Source organism: Homo sapiens, chromosome 2 (assembly GCF_000001405.40).
Source record: "Homo sapiens chromosome 2, GRCh38.p14 Primary Assembly".
Lineage (NCBI taxonomy): Eukaryota > Metazoa > Chordata > Mammalia > Primates > Hominidae > Homo > Homo sapiens.
Window position 1 is genome coordinate 27,078,036 of NC_000002.12, and position 21,282 is coordinate 27,099,317.

Consider the following 21,282-nt stretch of genomic DNA (forward strand, 5'->3'; position numbering starts at 1 on the left):
ACATTCTCCTCTCCTCCTTTCTCCCAAGTCACTGACCTAGTATTTAGTGTGTGTTCTCAGCCTCACCATTGACTTGCTGTGTTACCTTGGACAAGTCACTCTCCCACTCTGACCTCAATTTTCACATCTCTAAAAGGAGACTGCTAGACTAGACGGTGAGTGAAGTCCTGCTGAGCCCTCCGAGTTCATTCTCCCTTGTCCAGTCAGTCCTTCCCTCCCACCCTCCCCTCTGGGCTCCCTCTCTGGGGCCCTCTCCCCCAGGGGAGGCCTGCTCCAGCCCCAGGGGAGCTGCGGCCCTGGCTCCTGTTCCCAGTCGGAGTGACCAGCCCTGGGCCTCCTTCCCAGCTTCGGCCCTGGCTCCATGTGGCCCATCTGAGAGGCTGGCCTCAAGCCCGGCGGCAACTCCACATTTCTGTTTTTCCTTTTTTTTCCCTCTTTCCCGGAGTTAACAAGAAGCAGATGTGGCGCACGATGGTTGGAGAGGTGGGGGGAGGAAGGGGGAGGCCGGACCGCCAGCCAGACAGGGGGGAAGGGAGGGGAGCCAGCAGGGAGGAGGAGGCCAGGGCCCGCCCCACAGCCACTCTCGCGCCTCCGAACAGCCACAGGGGCAAAGCCCTGTCACCCCCAGGATCCGGTCATCAGGGAAAGAGGACAGGGAGACCAGAAGAGGGCCAGCTGGGACGAGGGGGCGGACGCCCAGGAGGCAACTTCTGAGACGCAGCTCCTGAGAGGGGCAGGGACCAGGCGCGGGAGGCCAGAGGGGGCACAGAGAACAAACCCCCTCAGAAGTGAAGAGGAGAGCGGAAGGAACCGAGAGGGGACGGACAGGAGCTGAGGAGGAAAGAGGAGGGGAGAGGGGTCAGGCCAGGCAGCCAAGGAGAAGACGTGTGGCCGGGGGCTATCAGAAGGAAACTGGGACGGACGGGCCGGGCTCGGGCTGTCCTGTGGAGCAGCAGCATCCCCGGGGCCGGCAGAGGCGCCAGTGGCTGGGCGGGATGAGTCTCTGAGGGCCACTGTGGAGCGCCCCGCCATGGCCCCCCGCACCCTCTGGAGCTGCTACCTCTGCTGCCTGCTGACGGCAGCTGCAGGGGCCGCCAGCTACCCTCCTCGAGGTTTCAGCCTCTACACAGGTTCCAGTGGGGCCCTCAGCCCCGGGGGGCCCCAGGCCCAGATTGCCCCCCGGCCAGCCAGCCGCCACAGGTAAGAGTCTGGATCCCAGCCCGAGGCTTGGGTGGTGAGGAAGGGGTCAGAATGCCACCTCTGCCTGGCTCTCTGCTGTGTCCGCTAATGCAGGGCAGAGGGGGAGTGAGAAGCCCATCCATCAGGTGGCTCCTCACATGCCCACCTTCCCACGGGGCCTTTTCCAGGACCCCCTGAACACATATGTTCCTTGGGTCACCTAGGGGGTCCGCTCCCACATGCCCCAGGGAAGCTGCCCTGAGGGGAGCGGGCCAGGCCTTCCTGCCAGCTGCCCTCTGTATCCTAGCCCCAGAGCCTCAGGGAGAACTTTTGTCCCCTTCTAGGGCTCCCTTGACCCCATCCAGTAATCCATAATTCTGACACCACTCCAGCTCTGTTCCCTCCAGCCCTCCAGCCAGACACAGATCAGAGGCCGGAGTGAATGGGGCCAGGAGTATAGAACTGCAATCCCCAAGAGGGGCAGGCTCATCAATGGCTTATTCTCTACTTAACCCCAAGCTGGCCTGCCCGTCTTCTCCTGGAGGGGTGGGGTGGAAGCCAGTGTTCAGATCACCCACAGGGCCCGGGCTGGCTATGCGCACACAGCATGCCAATCTGGGGACTGAGACAGGCCCAGAAAGGGACACACATGATTGTGTACATTCAGAGGCTCCCCGGGACCCCACCACCATGAGGATTGACTGCTCTGTGGTTTTCCATTCTGCGCGTCTCCCCATCTTGAAAAGTCTTTATCTGCTCCTGCTACACAGGAAAGCGTGGGGGATAGGGAGGGTGGCGATGCCAAAGCCCTTGCTCTCACTGATCCCCAAGGGTTCTGCATCTTTGGAGCCTTCTTCAGCCCCTCTGGTAGCCCCTGGGCCCTCCTCCAGGGCATGTATCTTTGGTCCTTGGACCCAGAGGGGGTTGTACCTACAGGAACTGGTGTGCCTACGTGGTGACCCGGACAGTGAGCTGTGTCCTTGAGGATGGAGTGGAGACATATGTCAAGTACCAGCCTTGTGCCTGGGGCCAGCCCCAGTGTCCCCAAAGCATCATGTGAGTCCCAGGGCCGGGCAACGGGCCCTTGGTGGGAACTGGGCGAGGGCAGATGGTGGGTGGCTGACTCAGGGAGTCTGTATGAAGCAGGGAGCAAGGGCAGGACAGGGGCTAGGGTCACAGCCATTTTGAGGAGATACTGAGACAACAGTTTGGCTGGTGGGAGACTGAGGGCAAACCTGCCTCACGCGCCAGCCCCAGATGCCTTCTCTGGGATGGCTCAGGCTCAAGCAGAGGAGTTCAAGGTTCCAGCACAGGGCAAGGGAAGGAAGAGCAGGGATTTAACCCTTGGCCAAAAAGCTGACAGCTGTCAGCTAAGCAAGGCCACATGTTGGACAGTAAGAGGGACCCAGCCTGAGGGACAGGCCATGCCCACCAGCAGCTGCCCACCCCTGAGGACAGGGACCAGGGTCACTGACCGTACAGGGAGGAATAAAGAGGCCTCCTTCTGCCTCTGCCAGGTACCGCCGCTTCCTCCGCCCTCGCTACCGTGTGGCCTACAAGACAGTGACCGACATGGAGTGGAGGTGCTGTCAGGGTTATGGGGGCGATGACTGTGCTGAGAGTCCCGCTCCAGCGCTGGGGCCTGCGTCTTCCACACCACGGCCCCTGGCCCGGCCTGCCCGCCCCAACCTCTCTGGCTCCAGTGCAGGCAGCCCCCTCAGTGGACTGGGGGGAGAAGGTGAGTGTGGGAGCTGCTGCGAGGGTGGCAAGTTCCAAATGGTGATCCAATGCAATGGGAAATGTGGGGCCAGGCTGCTGGGGGAGTCCCCCGTGCTCTATGCCAGAGAGAAGAGAGGGGCAGAAGGGTTAGTGAGATCGCAGAGATTCCCTGCCCGTGTGTGTGTGTGTGTGTGTGTGTGTGTGTGTGTGTGTGTATTTGTGTGTCTGTGTGAGAGAGAGGGAGAGAGCACGCAAAAGATGGAGAGACTGAGAAAAAGAAGGCCAAAAAAGAGAAGGTGCTCGCACACGCCCCATGTGGCCAAGATCCTTCAAACAGCTGCAGGAGAAAGGGGCATTCCTTTGAGAAGCTTGGTCCGTGGGGACAGACAGTTGAGACTACAAATCCTAGCATGCATTGCACCTGACTACAGATCCCAGACCCCTCCGTGGCCTCTGGAGACCGCAGGTCCCAGCATGCAGCAGTTCCTGTGGCTTGCCTTCCCTCCTGCGTGCTGCACACCGGATGTGCTGTTTCCCTGCCCCGAGATAGCCTTACTATAATTATGCAAACAGGAACTCCTGGCCAACTCTCACCGTCCACAGAGCCTCTTCTTTGTCCCCGTGGTGTTGCAGGGAAGTGTCACCCAGTGGTAGCTACTGTTGTGGCATCCAGAGTGCCTCCCTACACTCCCATTTCGCCCCTCTTGACAGCCCCATGACAGAAGAGTGTCATTATCCTTTCGCAGAAGAGGAAAGAGTTTCCAAGAAGTTAAGAGGCACTCTGGGCAGGTGGAAAGGACATGGACCTGGGGGCTGGATAGATGGTCTGGGTTTGAAACTTAGCACTGCCATTTATTAAACCTGTGATCCATGGCCAGGCACCTAATATCTCTGGTCCAGTTTCCCAGCCTATATGATGGGAAGAGTTCATGGTATCTCCCCAGGGGAGTTATTGAAGAACAGAGCCATGGTTCATATTTGGCCTAGAGGCATTCAGTGAATGGAGTTTCTTTTTTTTTCTCTTGCCAAAATCACCCAAAGGAGAGGCAGAGCCAGCCTGGGCATCTGACCCTTGCTGGAGCTGGGGTGAGCAGGGGCCTTGAGCTCTGGGGTCCAGCCCCTCTGCCTTCTGCCTTCCCCTCTCCTCAGGTCCTGGGGAGTCAGAGAAGGTGCAGCAGCTGGAGGAACAGGTGCAGAGCCTGACCAAGGAGCTGCAAGGCCTGCGGGGCGTCCTGCAAGGACTGAGCGGGCGCCTGGCAGAGGATGTGCAGAGGGCTGTGGAGACGGCCTTCAACGGGAGGCAGCAGCCAGCTGACGCGGCTGCCCGCCCTGGGGTGCATGAAACCCTCAATGAGATCCAGCACCAGCTGCAGCTCCTGGACACCCGCGTCTCCACCCACGACCAGGAGCTGGGTCACCTCAACAACCATCATGGCGGCAGCAGCAGCAGTGGGGGCAGCAGGGCCCCAGCCCCAGCCTCAGCCCCTCCGGGCCCCAGTGAGGAGCTGCTGCGGCAGCTGGAGCAGCGGTTGCAGGAGTCCTGCTCCGTGTGCCTGGCCGGGCTAGATGGCTTCCGCCGGCAGCAGCAGGAGGACAGGGAGCGGCTGCGAGCGATGGAGAAGCTGCTGGCCTCGGTGGAGGAGCGGCAACGGCACCTCGCAGGGCTGGCGGTGGGCCGCAGGCCCCCTCAGGAATGCTGCTCTCCAGAGCTGGGCCGGCGACTGGCAGAGCTGGAGCGCAGGCTGGATGTCGTGGCCGGCTCAGTGACAGTGCTGAGTGGGCGGCGAGGCACAGAGCTGGGAGGAGCCGCGGGGCAGGGAGGCCACCCCCCAGGCTACACCAGCTTGGCCTCCCGCCTGTCTCGCCTGGAGGACCGCTTCAACTCCACCCTGGGCCCTTCGGAGGAGCAGGAGGAGAGCTGGCCTGGGGCTCCTGGGGGGCTGAGCCACTGGCTGCCTGCTGCCCGGGGCCGACTAGAGCAGTTGGGGGGGCTGCTGGCCAATGTGAGCGGGGAGCTGGGGGGGCGGTTGGATCTGTTGGAGGAGCAGGTGGCAGGGGCCATGCAGGCATGCGGGCAGCTCTGCTCTGGGGCCCCTGGGGAGCAGGACTCTCAAGTCAGCGAGATCCTCAGTGCCTTGGAGCGCAGGGTGCTGGACAGTGAGGGGCAGCTGCGGCTGGTGGGCTCCGGCCTGCACACGGTGGAAGCAGCGGGGGAGGCCCGGCAGGCCACGCTGGAGGGATTACAAGAGGTTGTGGGCCGGCTCCAGGATCGTGTGGATGCCCAGGATGAGACAGCTGCAGAGTTCACACTACGGCTGAATCTCACTGCGGCCCGGCTAGGCCAACTGGAGGGGCTGCTGCAGGCCCATGGGGATGAGGGCTGTGGGGCCTGTGGCGGAGTCCAAGAGGAACTAGGCCGCCTTCGGGATGGTGTGGAGCGCTGCTCCTGCCCCCTGTTGCCTCCTCGGGGTCCTGGGGCTGGTCCAGGTGTTGGGGGCCCAAGCCGTGGGCCCCTGGACGGCTTCAGCGTGTTTGGGGGCAGCTCAGGCTCAGCCCTGCAGGCCCTGCAAGGAGAGCTCTCTGAGGTTATTCTCAGCTTCAGCTCCCTCAATGACTCACTGAATGAGCTCCAGACCACTGTGGAGGGCCAGGGCGCTGATCTGGCTGACCTGGGGGCAACCAAGGACCGTATCATTTCTGAGATTAACAGGCTGCAGCAGGAGGCCACAGAGCATGCTACAGAGAGTGAAGAGCGCTTCCGAGGCCTAGAGGAGGGACAAGCACAGGCCGGCCAGTGCCCCAGCTTAGAGGGGCGATTGGGCCGTCTTGAGGGTGTCTGTGAACGGTTGGACACTGTGGCTGGGGGACTGCAGGGCCTGCGCGAGGGCCTTTCCAGACACGTGGCTGGGCTCTGGGCTGGGCTCCGGGAAACCAACACCACCAGCCAGATGCAGGCAGCCCTGCTGGAGAAGCTGGTCGGGGGACAGGCGGGCCTGGGCAGGCGGCTGGGTGCCCTTAACAGCTCCCTGCAGCTCCTGGAGGACCGTCTGCACCAGCTCAGCCTGAAGGACCTCACTGGTGAGGGGACAAAAGGCATGAGGGGACCCCTTTCAAGCCCCTTATTTTTCTTCTCCCTCCCCCAGCCCAGCTTCCAACTCATCTGCTTTCTCCTTGCTTTTCCCAACATGAATTGCAGCCCCAGCCAGTATTCCAGGTGTTATAGTTTGCCTGCAAGAGATGATGCAAGGTCCTAGCTCCCGCCCTCCCTCTGGCTGCTCACTAGGCCTGTGGGTGGAGAGAGGATGTTGCTCTGCCAGCCAGGGATCCAGCATATGCAGCAAGGGACCCCATGGCCCCCTCAGCCTGCAAAGCTCCACCTGTTCCATCCATCTTCTCCCTGTTCATGAAGCCACCACCCACCTTCCTTACCCATTGGAAACTCCTTTTATGGCCCTCCTTCAACTCAATTTTGTCACTGTAGGGCCTGCAGGAGAGGCTGGGCCCCCAGGGCCTCCTGGGCTGCAGGGACCCCCAGGCCCTGCTGGACCTCCAGGATCACCAGGCAAGGACGGGCAAGAGGGCCCCATCGGGCCACCAGGTATGTGCACTGAGACCCTTGCTGCAGTCAGGGTTGCCACTGCCCCCTCCAACCCTGACCCCCGCTGGCAGCCCCAGGCTTGACATTCCACTCTGAACTTGACAAGGGGAATTGGGTACTACCTGACCGATAAGGGAAAATCAGAGGAAAGTGAGGAGGAACTGTGATAGTCACTGTGTTTGGTTAATGGGTATTAGGAGGCTAATGGATAATGTTGGCCCCACTGCAGTACTGGAGACTAAAGCTGAGTCTATTATAGCTGTCTGGGGTGTGAAAGGCTGGGATGGCCCAGCAGTTGAACAGAATGGACCCTACCTATTCCTGTTTTTCTTGATACCCCAATTCCTGCTTTGAAGTCCACGTAGCACCGAGCACAACAGGAGAGCCTCAGCAGATGTTTGCTGAGTGACTTAGTGAGAGCTGCTTTATTTCTCACTGCTCCCTTTCCTCTTCTCACAGGTCCTCAAGGTGAACAGGGTGAGTGCCTTTCATTTGATTCTGGAGGGAGAAGTGACTAGGGGTTGGAGGATAGAGGTCCTCGGGCAGCCCTGGGCTGGGGATCCAGCAGGGGAAGGGGGCTGGCACTCTGCCCTGAGCATCCCCTTTAACATCCACCCTTCCCACTCAGGAGTGGAGGGGGCACCAGCAGCCCCTGTGCCCCAAGTGGCATTTTCAGCTGCTCTGAGTTTGCCCCGGTCTGAACCAGGCACGGTCCCCTTCGACAGAGTCCTGCTCAATGATGGAGGCTATTATGATCCAGAGACAGGTAGTCCTGGGAGGGGCTGGGTTGAACGGTTGGAGAAATGGGTGAGGTGTGCAGTGATATCTTCCCATTCTTGCCTTTTCCGACAGTGTGAATCTTCATTCTCTGATTTGGGGAGACCCCGGCTCTTTCTTCATTTATTCATTCTCAGGCAGTGGGGAGAAGAAGTAGTCATTCATTCATTCAGCAGATCTTTACTGGGGCCTGCTCCTGCCCAGGCACTGTTTTAAGTGCTGGGAATGCATAGTGAACAAAGCCCCCAGTTCCCTGCCGCTCACATTCCAGTGAGGTGAAAAGACCCAGAGGGTCCCTCCTCAGTCCAGGAGTTCTGGTGCGCTCCCCGGAGCTTCCCTGGCCCCCCTGACTGCTATCCTTGTCCCCAGGCGTGTTCACAGCGCCACTGGCTGGACGCTACTTGCTGAGCGCGGTGCTGACTGGGCACCGGCACGAGAAAGTGGAGGCCGTGCTGTCCCGCTCCAACCAGGGCGTGGCCCGCGTAGACTCCGGTGGCTACGAGCCTGAGGGCCTGGAGAATAAGCCGGTGGCCGAGAGCCAGCCCAGCCCGGGCACCCTGGGCGTCTTCAGCCTCATCCTGCCGCTGCAGGCCGGGGACACGGTCTGCGTCGACCTGGTCATGGGGCAGCTGGCGCACTCGGAGGAGCCGCTCACCATCTTCAGCGGGGCCCTGCTCTATGGGGACCCAGAGCTTGAACACGCGTAGACTGGGGTCCCGCCCGACGTGTCTACGTCGGCTGAAGAGACAGCGGGGGCGGCGGGCTCCTGGGGTCTCGCCTGAGACGGGGCACCTAGCCCTGGGCGAGCGCCGCACCCGGGCCCGCAGCGGCACCGCGCCCAGAGCGGCCTCTCCCCACGCCCGGGGCGCGCCGGCTCAGGGAGGCTCGGGGCCGCCCATGCAGACTTTTGGCCTGGCGCGATCCCCCAAGAACCCCTCCAGGGCCGGCCTGCGGAGGAGCCGATCCTCGCACCCTCCGCTCCCTCCACTGGCCCTCCAGGTCGATTCCCTGGGCTCCAGGCTCCCCCGCGCGGGCGCCGCCCACCGCCATACTAAACGATCGAGGAATAAAGACACTTGGTTTTTCTAAAAAAAACTAAACGAACCGTTCTGCTACGGTACGGGGTCGGGGGCTGCCGGGCGTGCACAGGGCACGGGGCGGGAGAGACGACGGCCTCCGGAGAGGACCCCGGGTTCCGCACTGCGTTCGCCGCCTCCGCCCGGCTCGGGGCGGCTCGGGGTTGGCTCAGGCAGCAAGCGGCGCCCGCCCGGCTCCTGCGACGTCTCCCCCGTGTCACGCCCGTTTCGCCGGCGTCCGCCAGGGGGCGCTCTGCGTTCCCGCCACGTGAGGCTGCGGCCCACCCGGCGGGTCCTGCTCCTCCGCGGCGGAGGCGTGGCCTCGGCTGGGACTAACCGGGGCGGGGCGGGGCGGGGCGGGGCGGGGCCGCCGCGACCGCGGGCTTCAGGCAGGGCTGCAGATGCGAGGCCCAGCTGTACCTCGCGTGTCCCGGGTCGGGAGTCGGAGACGCAGGTGCAGGAGAGTGCGGGGCAAGTAGCGCATTTTCTCTTTGCATTCTCGAGATCGCTTAGCCGCGCTTTAAAAAGGTTTGCATCAGCTGTGAGTCCATCTGACAAGCGAGGAAACTAAGGCTGAGAAGTGGGAGGCGTTGCCATCTGCAGGCCCAGGCAACCTGCTACGGGAAGACCGGGGACCAAGACCTCTGGGTTGGCTTTCCTAGACCCGCTCGGGTCTTCGGGTGTCGCGAGGAAGGGCCCTGCTCCTTTCGTTCCCTGCACCCCTGGCCGCTGCAGGTGGCTCCCTGGAGGAGGAGCTCCCACGCGGAGGAGGAGCCAGGGCAGCTGGGAGCGGGGACACCATCCTCCTGGATAAGAGGCAGAGGCCGGGAGGAACCCCGTCAGCCGGGCGGGCAGGAAGCTCTGGGAGTAGCCTCATGGAAGAGAAGCAGATCCTGTGCGTGGGGCTAGTGGTGCTGGACGTCATCAGCCTGGTGGACAAGTACCCTAAGGAGGACTCGGAGATAAGGTAGGGGCGCCCAGGTCCCCTAGGGGACCCCAGGGGCTGCTGCAGTCCAGCATTTGTGCCAGCGACCGAGGCTGCAGAGACCCCGCAGTGAGGCCCTGAGAACCCGGCTTCAAGGCCGGACCCGCGCCCTCTACCCGGGAATCCTGGGGGGGCTCCCAGCATGACAGAAGAGAGGAAGGAATTGAGGCCTTTAATAAGAAGACCCAGGATTTAATAGCATCGTGTTAGCCAATTTCCATTTCAACTCAGGCATCAGGTGTCAGGTGTCAGGCATCAGGATCCCCATTTTACTGATAAGTATAGATTCAGAGACCAAGGGGCTTATCCAGGGGCACACAGCTACCTGCTTCTGCTGTTTCTTTTTAAACCCCAAGCCTATGCACTTGCCTCTCATCAACATTTACTTCTAACTTATTTATCCACATATCTCGCACCTATTTCTGAGAAAGATTTGAGGTAGCTTACAGTAAAAAGTATGTACAGTTAAACTGTTGGAGAACATTTAAGACCATGGTATTTGAGCTTCAACTATAGCTCAGGGCTTGCTGGCACTGGAGGCAAACATGAGATGCCATGGGTTATGTATGGATAGAGCTGGTTCATGAGCCCTGGCAAGCTTTTTCCTGGTGCTAAATTCCAAGAGGAGTTTACCAGAAGTCCTTTTCACAGAGGTCAATGAACACCGTTTAGTAGTGGGAAATATCTTTCTCAGTTGTCTGCTAGAAACTGAAGAGTCAGTTGTTGGTTCTTTTTTTTTTTTTTTTTTTTTTTTTTTGAGACAGGGTCTCATTCTGTCGTCCAGGCTGGAGTGCAGTGGTGCAACCATGCTCACTGCAGCCTTGACCTCCAGACTCAAGTGATCCTCCCACCTCAGCCTCCTGAGTAGCTGGGACCACACATGCACGTCACCATCCCAGCTGTATTTTAAATTTTGTATAAGGGACGGGTTCTCACTATACTGATCAGAGTGGTCTTGAGCTCCTGGGCTCAAGCAGTCCTCCTGCTTTGGCCTCTCAAAGTACTGGGATTACAGGCATGAGCCACTGCACCCAGCCGATTTGTTGGTTCTTTTTCTTTTTGAGACAGAGTCTCGCTCTGTTGCCCAGGCTGGAATGCAGTGGCATGATCTTGGCTCACTGCAACCTCCGCCTCCTGGATTCAAGCGATTCTCCTGCCTCAACCTCCTGGGTAGCTGGGATTATAGGCATACGCCACCATGCCCCACTAATTTTTTTTTTCTTTTGTAGAGACAGGGCTTTTCTTTGTAAAGACATGTTGGCCATGCTGGTCTCAAACTTCTAATCTCAAGTGATCTGCCCGTCTCAGTCCCCCAAAGTGCTGGGATTACAGGCATGAGCCACCACACCCGGCTTATTGGTTCTTGTATTTCCTCTTGATAAGGGCCCCACCATTACACTGTAATGCTGTGAAGGCATTTCTGTGGGGCGGGACACTAGCTTTCTCTTGGTGCAGTCAGTGAGTGCTTAGAACACTGAGAATTGCTCCTGGGCTATATCAGTTGTCGCAGCTAAGAACTGGATAAGAGGCAGTTCAAGACTGAACTCCACAAAGACACGACAGTGCTGATGGCTGCCAGGCTAACTGAGGTGAGAGACCCCGACACTCCTCAGGCTTTGGGGCCACAAAGCACCATCACATATATTATTTTATACTCTCCTCCCAGCAGCCCATGGGAACTGTGTAAAGATCAGTGAAATCCTTTATACAGATAAGGAAGCTGAAGATTTGGAGATGTTTTTTAAGGCCACGGAGTTAAATGGTGGCACAGTGGCAGCTGCAGCTCGAGTCTCCTAGTGTGGAGTCCAGGGTCCCTGCCCTCTGTCATCTCCTGTATACCCTGTCCCTTTGCTGTTGACCATCTCTTGGAGTTGACCCTTTGCTTTGGTTTGCCAGAGGTTAGGGCCCCTTGCCAGGGGTGCAGGGACTGGGGAAGGGGCACGGGCATGCCACTGTGTAGACCTAACCCACTGTGCAAGGTCGAGGCAGCCACAGGACATGGCACTCAGTGAGGAGTTGGGTTCATCTCAGGGCAACAGTGCAAATTCCAGGGCCACAGGTTCTCCAAGGACCGTGGAGAGCCTGGGAAAAGACTCAGCGCCTCTTTCTGTCAGAGCTGAAGTCCCATTTCCTCTCAGCTTAATTCTGTCGGGAAGGTAGGAGAAGGAGGTCCTGCTAGCACCCACACTGATGGGGCAGGTTCTGAAGGTGGGCACTGAGCGAGGCACTTCTCTAAAGGGCCCCTTCCCATGTCCATCATGCTTCCTGCACTCCAGGCCATGCCTTCCCCGCAGCCCCATGGCCCTGGTTCCCTGCAGCCTGGCTCCTGAACTGTTGTGCCTCCCAGAGGAGCACATCCGAGTGGGGACCCAGTCCTTCCTGGGTGTCTCAGCCCCACCTGTCCTAGGGTCTCTGTGCTTGACAGGCAGTTGGGGACTCTTGGGAGCCGCCACCTGGAGCTCAGCCAGACCCCTGGGACGTGTCCTTTTTTTTATTTTTTGAGTTGGAGTTTTGCTCTTGTTGCCCAGGCTGGAGTGCAATGGTGCGATCTTGGCTCACTGCAACCTCCGCCTCCAGAGTTCAAGCAATTCTCCTGCCTCAGCATCCCGAGTAGCTGGGATTACAGGCATGTGCCACCACACCCAACTAATTTTGTACTTTCAGTAGAGATGGGGTTTCTCCATGTTGGTCAGGATGGTCTCGAACTCCCGACGTCAGGCGATCCGCCTGCCTCAGCCTCCCAAAGTGCTGGGATTACAGGCGTGAGCCACCGCGCCCAGCCTTTAGCTGAGCATTTCTGCACAGGAAATATCAGTGTGACTTTGAAGGGTTTCCCCAGAGTAAAATTCTATATCCTTTCTTAGAAACCTCAATGCTTGGGCCTAACAACTTTTAGTTTTAAAATACGGAGTAATTAGCAATGGCTTTGGGGTCAGGAAATTGGGTTCCCACATCAGCTTTGTCCTTAACTATTGATCAAGTCAGATCCCTCGAGATTCCTCCTTTTTTTTCATATCTTTTCGTAAAAATTTCTGTAAAGCTGTAAAGCTCAGCTTGAAAATCTTTTTTTTCTTTTTTCTTTCTTTTTTTTTTTTTTTTTTTGGAGACAAAGTCTTACTCTGTCACCCAGGCTGGAGTGCAGTGGCATGATCTTGGCTCACTGCAACCTCTGCCTCCCGGGTTCAAAAGATTCTCCTGCCTCAGCCTCCCGAGTAGCAGGGATTACAGGCACCTGCCACCACACCCGGCTCATTTTTGTATTTTTAGTAGAGACAGGGTTTCAACATCTTGGCCAGGCTGGTCTTGAACTCCTGACCTCGTGATCCACCCGCCTCAGCCTCCCAAAGTGCTGAGATTATGGGCGTGAGCCACTGCGCCCGGCCAGCTTGAAAATCTTTGACCAGCTGGGTGCAGTGGCTCATACCTATAATCCCAGCACTTTGGGAGGCCAAGGCAGGAGGATCGCTTGAGCCGAGGAGTTCGGGACCAGCCTGGGCAACATAAGAAGATGCCATCTCTACGAAAAAATTTTTTAAATTAGCGGGGCATGGTGATGCACACCTATAATCCCAGCTACTTGGGAGACTAAGGTGGGAGGATCAGTTGAGCTGGGGAAGTTGAGGCTGCAGTGAACCATGATCATGCCATTGCACTCCAGCCTGGGTGACAGAGTGACTCTGTCTCAAAAAAACAAAAAAATTACTATCCTTTGTCATTGTTGTTATTGTTGTTTTTGAGACAGGATCTCACTCTGCCACCCAGGCTGGAGTGCAGTATCATGGCTCACCCCAGCCTAAACCTCCCGGGCTCATACGCTCCCCCAACTTCAGCCTCCTGAGTAGCTGGGACCACGGGTATGCACCACCATACCCAGCTAATTTTTAATTTTTTTTTTTTTTTTAGAGACAAGAGCTCCCTTTGGTTGCCCAGGCTGGTCTCGAACTTCTGGGCTCAAGTGATCCTCCTGCTTTGGCCTCCCAAAGTGCTGGGATTATAGGCATAAGCCACTGTGCCTGTCCTACTATCATTTTTTTTCTAATGACATCGTGCTCCCCTTTTCCCAAAACTGAAGTTTCGCGTACAAATATGCTTTGGCCTAAAAATTCTGGTTCGGTTTTTTCTCTTAATTCGTGGTTCTTTGGTACTGTTCCTTTTATTGTAAACTGCCACAATTATTATTATTATTGGAACTGGCACAATAGAAATAACACCACCATTCTTACCTCAAAGGTAATAACATTCATTAATGATTTCTCATTTGGGCTCCAGTAACACTGTGAGGGGATCAGTGCGTTGACCCTCTATGTGGAAGTTATCATTTTTGCTGCTGATGACAATGAAGCCCTTCACGTGTGTCTTGTTAGTTTCCTTTTGGTTGGTTTTTAGTAAAGATGGAGAAGTGCTCCCTGCTGCCACTTCTTAAACGACCAACGTCCAGGTTTGCTGTCCTGTCTTACTCGTTTGATTTTATAGCTCTGCAGTTTCTATTGAAGTAGACACTCCTAACACAGGGGTAGGTGTAAATGTGATACCTTTGGGAAGAGGCACTTAGTCCCCGAGGTCCTTGGAGTTGCTCCAGCTCTCAAGGAGGAGGCCAAAGGTGCAGCGTCTGGAGCAGCTCTGACTGGGGTGAAAGGTGAGGAGGAGATGACCTGGAGTTAGTGGGTCTCTCGAATAGTGATGGACCCAAGTGAGTGGTTTCCTGTTGCCCTAGGAACAGATGGAAATATTGAAAGGAACTGCTGTCAGCTTGAATTTAGCCTGGGCTGGGGAGGTAGACACCGCTCTCAGCCAAGCTCCTTCCCTTGGCCGGCCTCGGCTGCCCCGGGTACAAAGTGAGACGTCGGCCTAGATGCTTTCTGAGAGGAGTCCCCAGCTGTTACATTCTGTAGGCCCCTATACAGGAGACTGTGCTTGGGATCAGCCTGCTGGGGCTGCAGGGACCCTCCCTGTGCTTTGCAGGTGTTTGTCCCAGAGATGGCAGCGCGGAGGCAACGCGTCCAACTCCTGCACCGTTCTCTCCCTGCTCGGAGCCCCCTGTGCCTTCATGGGCTCAATGGCTCCTGGCCATGTTGCTGAGTAAGTCCAGGAGGGAGAGCCCACTGGGGAAGGCCTGCCTGCATCATTGTGGGAGAAGAAGGATGTATCCACCCTGGGTGGATGGGGGATTAGAAATGGGTTGTGTCCAGCAGAAACGCGGGGAGGGGGCATGGCGGAGCACCAGACGCCCAGCCCTGCCTTGGCGTGGCCTCTCTGCGGTTCGGGGGCTGATGCTGCCCCTGTGAAGCTTTCCTTGCCACAGCTTGTTTCCTGGACACTTCTGGAGCCTGCTTCAGCCTCTTCCTTTCTCCTTCCTTGCTTCCTGCAGACTCTGCGGTGGATGTGCCTTTGCCTTATCTTAAGTCCCTTATCCTGGCCATGCTTGAGGCAGAAGGCAGTTAGGGACACGTGGTACCCATCCTCCCCCAGGTCCAGGCCCACAGTTTCTGTCCCAGTTGAGAGGCAGGGCTGGTGCTCATGTCCCTGTTGTTCACTGAAGCAGTGAGAGTACCCTGTTCAAGGACACCCTGAAGCCACATGCTAAAGCTGGGCTCAGAACCCACACCTCCCAGTTCCCCGGCTGTCAGGGCTATAGCCCTAAATGGCTCATGCACGCCCTCCATGTTGGCTGCTGCAGGGACCTCAGAGCCCTTTGACCCCTGGCGCTGCCGACTCAGCAAGCACTTATCGGGAGGTGAGGCCCACACTTTGCACACTGTGGGCACGGGGGCAGGCTGCCAGGTTGCTGGCCTGTGAAGGGCAGCCCTTTGAACCCTGGTTTGAAGGGGGCTGCTGGCAGAGTCCAACCACCTGAGCTACAGCCAAACTCCCTGCCTTGATGAACTGGCAGGAAGAGAATAGAGGGAGAGAATCTGCCCTGTGAGATGGGACAGGACGGCTCAGAACCAAGGGCTGGTGACTCATTAAACCTCTTTAATAGCTCCTTTCCTCTGAGCTAGAGGCAGGACTGTGGCTCTGGCTTAGGATGGTCGACTCTCCTTTACATAGCAATCAGGCCAATGGGTGGTTTATTCAGAATTCTCCCCATGTGCTCGACAAACATTTAGAGAGCACCTACCATGTCCCAGGCACTGGGGTGCGAAAGTTATTTGGCAAACCAAACCATATTTCCAATGCTTTGGGAAAGTTACTATTTAAAGGAGTTGTAAGTCAAGGGATGATGCCCTGACTTGGTATCTTTATGCAAATCTGTATTATCCAGCTTTGGTGTTGCTGAAAGCGGGCTCTGGCCAGGTGAGAAAAGCCAGGATGGTGGCTGGACTGCTGGGCATAATTGCCAGTTCTTGAGCACAGAACAATGCCTGTCCATAGAGGGCTGGAAGGGCTGGGGCTGACCTCCTTGTCCTTGCCCCTGGGCTCACTCTGCATGGAGGGCATTCCAGGAGAGAGTTCTGGACCAGGCCCATACTGAGTGGCATCAGGCACGGGGAGCCAGCTGATTGCCCAGGAGGGTTCACCTGGCTGCAGGAGGACAAAGCAGTGAGCTGGCTCACCAAGGCAGCACCACTTCCAGGCTGGGCCTCCTGGAGGCAGGCAGAGAGTGAGAGGAATCACAGCATTAGGACTGGGAGGGACTGAGAGAGGACAGCACCCTGGATGAGCTTGTGGAGGACAGCTGGGGGCAAAGTATTGCCTTGGAGATTAATTATTAATCCTGTTTGGGCATTGCAGGAAACAAGCCACGGTGCCCCCACATGCTTGGTTCAAACAGTGTACAGGTTCTAGGGTCCTGTCTAGCTTTATGAACAGGAGCAAATCCTTTCCAGCATGAGTTGGACTGAAAAACAGAGTCAGGATCGGAGCATGCTTCAGCCAAGACCTAAAAGGATGGCCCTTAGTGTTTCTCTCTCTGAGCTCCAGGCTCTGCACTCCTGCATCTCCTGCCCTGTTGCACTGCCTGTGGCAAGACTGTGATTCCCAGTTCTCTCCCAGCCCCCTTTGCTTGCACCCCTGCCTTTCAGGGTCCCTAGTGGCCCTGCCAGCTACCCTCCAGTCCCCAAAACCCTTGTCGAACTGCACCCCCTTCGGGTTACTCCGCCCTAGCAGTTTTGTCCTGGATGACCTCCGCCGCTATTCTGTGGACCTACGCTACACAGTCTTTCAGACCACAGGCTCCGTCCCCATCGCCACGGTCATCATCAACGAGGCCAGTGGTAGCCGCACCATCCTATACTATGACAGGTTTGTACAACTGTCTGTGCCTTGCCAGCTGCTGCCGCCGCCACCAAAACTCCCAGAACAGGACTCTTCTTCTCTTAGAGGCTCGTGTGCTCCAGCACCCTCTCCCCACTCCTTTTGGAGGTCCAGACCACTTCCAGGCTCTAATCTGTGTCTCCTTGCCCTTTTCCTGGCCCGGCCTCCACCCTAAGCTTCCTGGTGGCCGACTTCAGGCGGCGGGGCGTGGACGTGTCTCAGGTGGCCTGGCAGAGCAAGGGGGACACCCCCAGCTCCTGCTGCATCATCAACAACTCCAATGGCAACCGTACCATTGTGCTCCATGACACGTAAGGCCCCCGGGCCTCGCCCTGCTACAACCCACCAATCAGTTGGCTCAATCAGTTCCCTCACTCGCCACCATGGGCATCCCAACTGCCCCCCTCTGTGGCTTCTGTGTACCAGAAGTTGCTCCCCTGCCAAAATGTCCAGTGATTTCCTAATTGCTTTCAATTAGGGGAAAAGTGAGGTGGGAAGGGATGGGCTTTGCTGTGCCTGGTGACTTGGCCTTGGTCAACACCAAAGAAGGGCAGGCAGGCCTATATAAACTGTAATTTATTAAGTGATTCCTCCATAATTATTAAATCGTTAATCAGCAGCTTGGCTGTGGGTGCGGGGAAACTGTTCTCAGGACAGAAGGGTGGGAGATGGGATTCAACCCTTCTTAAGAAGGGCTGTGGGGGGGTGCCCACTGGGATTTCCAAAGTCAGCCCCAGAGTTGCCAGCCTGCAGCATGGCACCAAGGAGCTGGGGTTTGGGTGTGTAAAAGAGATCAGCCCCCCAAAGTTTCCAGCATGATGAAGCCAGGCCACACACCATTCACAGCCATTGCTGAAGGAGGGGAAAGGAAACATGGGGTCAGCAGATCAGGGTCATCTAACATGGTGCTGACCTGGGGGAAGGGGCTATCCCTCCCTTCAGGGTCCCAGGCCACTCAAGAGAGGCCCCATGGGCCTAGACACTTCTTATCCCTTGCAGACTCCCTCCTGCAGGATTTTAGAGGTTTAGTGTACTAAGAACCTAGTACGTGCCAGGTACTGTTATGGCTGAGAGGGCCCAAGCCCAGCAGCCCTCAGGTTCAGGCTGTTCCTACGGCCCAGCCTGACTGCCGGACCTGGAGGAGGGGCAGCCATCCCTGGGCTTCATATGTGCAGTGAGTGTGAGTAGGCAGGCATATGTGCTACAGGTGACCTTCGCATTGGGCAATCCTAGTCAAATGCTTGTTAAGCAACAATCCGTAGTAACCCTGATCAAGGACACAACATAGCTATTTACAGGAGAGGAGCTCTGAGGAGAAATGTTTCTTGCCCACTGGCCTCAGTCCAGGCACATTCACACACATTACCTGCAACTGCAGCAGGCTGCAAGGGGGCTGGGGGTTTCAGCCCCATTTATCAATGTGGAAGTTGCCTCCCAAAGGCCCGGGCAGATCACACAGCTATAGTTAAGTGGAAGGACTCGGCTACAGAACGTGGAGCGGGGACTTTGGCTGAGTTGAGGTCTCTGGCTCAGGAGGGTCAAGGCAGACCTCTATCGGGAGTCCCCTTTCCTAAACCGGCCAAACACAAACTCTTCCTCAAGTGCTACCTTGACCTCAGGGTTGCAACGGGGAGCTATTAAACGCAGGACAGGGGTGCCATAGGTAAACCCCAACGCTGGGGCGCCAGAAGTGAGGGGGACCAGACAGCCCAGGCAGGGGGTCGCGGGCTTTATACTTTCCCAGGGCTCTGCCTGTGGGAGCCGTGTGCTGCTGCAAGGGATTCTGGGAAGTGTAGGCTTGGCGCTCTCAGTGCATTCTGGGAGATGCAGTCTCCAAGGCACACAGACCTTGCCAGTTGACATGTGTTGCAGTTCAGTTTACCGAGATAATTTAATCACAACCTCAAACTCAGGAAAGGGCACCCCAGCAGACTGTAACAGGGACAACCCTGGAGCTGAGCCTGAGAATCCTGTGCTGTGGATCCAGCTTCCTGTCATGCTGCCAGCAGTGCAGGCACAGGGTCCACAGCTGCCAGTTAGAGATCCTGGCTCTGCCTGACCCCATCATGCTCCTTCTTCTCTGTCTTTTCCATCCTGTGACCTAGGAGCCTGCCAGATGTGTCTGCTACAGACTTTGAGAAGGTTGATCTGACCCAGTTCAAGTGGATCCACATTGAGGTAAGCCCTGCCTTACCTGTGTTTCAAGGGGCTCAACCTGCCAGCCTCCTCCACATGTTCTGCCTCCTTGGTTTCTTTGAATCATGAAGTACCTTAGAGATAAATGAACCCAACCCCCTCATTCTCTCTCCATCTTTCCTTATGTCTTCAGGTGAGAAAACTAAGGCCCAGAAAGATTAGATGACTTACTCAAGGTCACACAGCAGAACGTAAGCACAGCTGGCTCCAGGCAAAGTCCTGTGCTTTCTGTGCTACGGGCTGCCCCATTGCCTCCAACTCTGCCTCTGGCGGATGTCTGACTGCTTAGGGCCTGACCCATTACCTCTGGGGAAGCAGGAAGGACAGGGCCTGACTCAGCTCCCAAATAAAGGGAACTAGAGCCTTTACTCCAAGAGAGGTTTTGGAGTCTGGGTGGAAGGAAATCCTGAGAAGTCCTGAGTTCTAGCTCCATCATTTAACCTATGGTAGGTCTTTCACAGTATCTTTTATTCTTTAGTCTTCTCATCTGTGGAATGGAGTAGCTGGTTGATAAGGTCTTCAAAGTCCACGACAGCTCTGAATGTTGTAATTTAGGATGGGGTTCTAGCCCAGCCTCCCCGAGGCCCTCTCCCTCCTCACCCAGAGTTTCAGCGGGGCAGGAAGAATGAGGCAGATTGGCCAGGCAGTGCCCAGCGGTCCTGAGCTGCCCTGTCCTGTACCAGGGCCGGAACGCATCGGAGCAGGTGAAGATGCTGCAGCGGATAGACGCACACAACACCAGGCAGCCTCCAGAGCAGAAGATCCGGGTGTCCGTGGAGGTGGAGAAGCCACGAGAGGAGCTCTTCCAGCTGTTTGGCTACGGAGACGTGGTGGGTGCCCCATTCAGCCTCTCTTTGCCACTTCCAGCTAATTTGGTTCTTAAAGGGAGCCAGAATCCTTTTATCCTGCCTACCACAATTGGAATAGTGGTTCCTGGTTTGGTGGTGTTTGAAGATGGGGGATGGGGGTTAAAGCAAAGAAGTAGACCCCTAGCCTTGGGCTCCAGTGCAGGCCTCAGCAGTGAGCAAGGAGTAGAATGTCTCCACCCCAGGTGGGTGCATAGGTGTAAGAATGCCCAGAGGGCTTGGGTAGGGCTTAAACAGCCACAGGGCAAGCCTGTGTGGAAGCATCTCCTCTCTGGGGCTCCCCAGTCTTTTCCTCTGCAGAATGAGGGCACACAACTGTTCTCTGAGGTTTCTTCCAACTCAGGGGTGTCTGGCAGGTTGTGGGGGCTGCTAGGGTGAGGGAAGGGTGGGAAGGAGACTTGCATGAGTCTCTTTTTGAAAAGGCTGGATGTAAATGGAATTTGGGAAGTAATCCCAGCATCATAGCAGAAGTTGGTTGGAGACCATCCAGCCAAGGTCCTCAACCTTGTGACTTGTCCTCAACCTTGGCTGCATATTAAAAAAGATGAATGCAGGCCAAGTGTAGTGGCTCACACTTGTAATCCCAGAGCTTTGGGAAGCTGAGGTAGGAGGATTGCTTGATGCCAGGAGTCCAAGACCAGCCTGGACAACATAGCAAGACCCCTGTCTCTATGAAAATAAATTAGGCCAAGAGCAGTGACTCATACCTGTAATCCCAGCACCTTGGGAGGCCAATGCAGGAGGATCACTTCAGCCAGTCATTCAAGATTGCAAGACCCTGTCTCTATACAAAAAAAAAAAAAAAAAATTCCTGGCATGGTGGTGTGCACCCATAGTCCCAGCTACTCAGGAGGCTGAGGCAGGAGGATTGCAGTGCCTGAGCCCCACCATCTTGTTTTTGATTGGCAGGGGTAGAGCCAAGGCTTCGGTGTTTTGTTTTTTGTTTTTACCAAAACTTTCTCTGGAGATTCTAAAGTGTAGGTAGTGTTGAGGGAGCCTCTTTGTTTTCCAGATGAAGAAACCATACCTAGAGGACATAGTTGTGGGAAAAACCAGCAAAACTGCTCCAGGGAGCCAGCATGGCGGTGGTAGATTCCACCCCAAGGTGGCGCTCAAGGCTTTCTGTGGGTTTTCAATCCATTGATCAGAGAACAAACGGACCAGGCCTTTTGTTTTACAATTTACAAGGCTGTATTCTATTATATATAAGCATCGATAAAAATATGCTTCTGGCCAGGTGCAGTGACTCACACCTGTAATCCCAGAAATTTTGGGAGGCTGAGGCAGGAAGATCATATGGGGCCAGGAGTTCAAGACCAGCCTCAGGGAGACCATCTTCACAAAAAATAAAGAAAAAAGAAAACCACGTTCCCGTGGGACAGTGAGATGCTACGTTGGGGATCTATGTGGACATGTTGGGGGAGTCGTGTTGTAATGGGGGCAACGCTAGGCTGCTGTTGGTGAATGACGAGTTAGAAGTGACCACCAGCTTCTCTTCCACTGCCCACAGGTGTTTGTCAGCAAAGATGTGGCCAAGCACTTGGGGTTCCAGTCAGCAGAGGAAGCCTTGAGGGGCTTGTATGGTCGTGTGAGGAAAGGGTGAGCCGGGGAAGCCAGGAAGGGGCTTTAGAA

The 21,282-nt window shown here is 56.5% G+C and overlaps 2 protein-coding genes across 15 annotated transcripts in view, besides 9 other annotated features; both read left to right on the forward strand.

The window, feature by feature from the left end:
• Positions 1-779: an enhancer, noted in NCBI's record as "H3K27ac-H3K4me1 hESC enhancer chr2:27300904-27301682 (GRCh37/hg19 assembly coordinates)". NCBI's record gives its function as "activates a minimal SCP1, AML or CMV promoter by ChIP-STARR-seq in naive H9 embryonic stem cells {active_cell/tissue: H9 hESC(naive)}" and the evidence as "EXISTENCE:reporter gene assay evidence [ECO:0000049][PMID:30033119]".
• Positions 580-8,368, forward strand: EMILIN1 (elastin microfibril interfacer 1). Its single transcript, NM_007046.4, has 8 exons — positions 580-1,200; positions 2,116-2,235; positions 2,697-2,917; positions 4,048-5,976; positions 6,380-6,496; positions 6,956-6,973; positions 7,125-7,262; positions 7,643-8,368. Exons 1-8 carry the CDS (start codon positions 1,031-1,033, stop codon positions 7,978-7,980), a joined length of 3,051 nt encoding a protein of 1,016 aa, NP_008977.1. The 5' UTR covers positions 580-1,030; the 3' UTR covers positions 7,981-8,368.
• Positions 3,284-3,543: an enhancer, noted in NCBI's record as "active region_15488". NCBI's record gives its function as "activates an Ori minimal core promoter by ATAC-STARR-seq in GM12878 lymphoblastoid cells {active_cell/tissue: GM12878}" and the evidence as "EXISTENCE:reporter gene assay evidence [ECO:0000049][PMID:35858748]".
• Positions 7,721-7,940: an enhancer, noted in NCBI's record as "active region_15489". NCBI's record gives its function as "activates an Ori minimal core promoter by ATAC-STARR-seq in GM12878 lymphoblastoid cells {active_cell/tissue: GM12878}" and the evidence as "EXISTENCE:reporter gene assay evidence [ECO:0000049][PMID:35858748]".
• Positions 8,071-8,230: a silencer, noted in NCBI's record as "silent region_11283". NCBI's record gives its function as "represses an Ori minimal core promoter by ATAC-STARR-seq in GM12878 lymphoblastoid cells {active_cell/tissue: GM12878}" and the evidence as "EXISTENCE:reporter gene assay evidence [ECO:0000049][PMID:35858748]".
• Positions 8,281-8,740: a silencer, noted in NCBI's record as "silent region_11284". NCBI's record gives its function as "represses an Ori minimal core promoter by ATAC-STARR-seq in GM12878 lymphoblastoid cells {active_cell/tissue: GM12878}" and the evidence as "EXISTENCE:reporter gene assay evidence [ECO:0000049][PMID:35858748]".
• KHK (ketohexokinase) overlaps positions 8,737-21,282 on the forward strand; it is a 13,991-nt gene continuing 1,445 nt past the window's right edge. The window contains exons 1-7 of one of the 14 annotated variants that reach the window (XM_005264294.5): positions 8,737-9,316; positions 14,297-14,413; positions 16,439-16,576; positions 16,765-16,899; positions 18,694-18,766; positions 19,468-19,614; positions 21,161-21,249. In XM_005264294.5, the coding sequence (XP_005264351.1) occupies positions 9,225-9,316; positions 14,297-14,413; positions 16,439-16,576; positions 16,765-16,899; positions 18,694-18,766; positions 19,468-19,614; positions 21,161-21,249 (791 nt within the window). In that variant the 5' untranslated portion in view covers positions 8,737-9,224. Of the gene's footprint in view, positions 9,317-14,296; positions 14,414-16,438; positions 16,577-16,764; positions 16,900-18,693; positions 18,767-19,467; positions 20,044-21,160; positions 21,250-21,282 lie in introns of those variants that run through there. The other 13 variants (XM_017004060.3, XM_005264296.5, NM_000221.3 and 10 more) reach the window with 13 other exon arrangements.
• Positions 8,931-8,990: an enhancer, noted in NCBI's record as "active region_15490". NCBI's record gives its function as "activates an Ori minimal core promoter by ATAC-STARR-seq in GM12878 lymphoblastoid cells {active_cell/tissue: GM12878}" and the evidence as "EXISTENCE:reporter gene assay evidence [ECO:0000049][PMID:35858748]".
• Positions 14,574-15,159: an enhancer, noted in NCBI's record as "H3K4me1 hESC enhancer chr2:27315477-27316062 (GRCh37/hg19 assembly coordinates)". NCBI's record gives its function as "activates a minimal SCP1, AML or CMV promoter by ChIP-STARR-seq in naive H9 embryonic stem cells {active_cell/tissue: H9 hESC(naive)}" and the evidence as "EXISTENCE:reporter gene assay evidence [ECO:0000049][PMID:30033119]".
• Positions 15,160-15,745: an enhancer, noted in NCBI's record as "H3K4me1 hESC enhancer chr2:27316063-27316648 (GRCh37/hg19 assembly coordinates)". NCBI's record gives its function as "activates a minimal SCP1, AML or CMV promoter by ChIP-STARR-seq in naive H9 embryonic stem cells {active_cell/tissue: H9 hESC(naive)}" and the evidence as "EXISTENCE:reporter gene assay evidence [ECO:0000049][PMID:30033119]".
• Positions 21,005-21,282: part of an enhancer, noted in NCBI's record as "H3K27ac-H3K4me1 hESC enhancer chr2:27321908-27322751 (GRCh37/hg19 assembly coordinates)", that runs on past the window's edge. NCBI's record gives its function as "activates a minimal SCP1, AML or CMV promoter by ChIP-STARR-seq in naive H9 embryonic stem cells {active_cell/tissue: H9 hESC(naive)}" and the evidence as "EXISTENCE:reporter gene assay evidence [ECO:0000049][PMID:30033119]".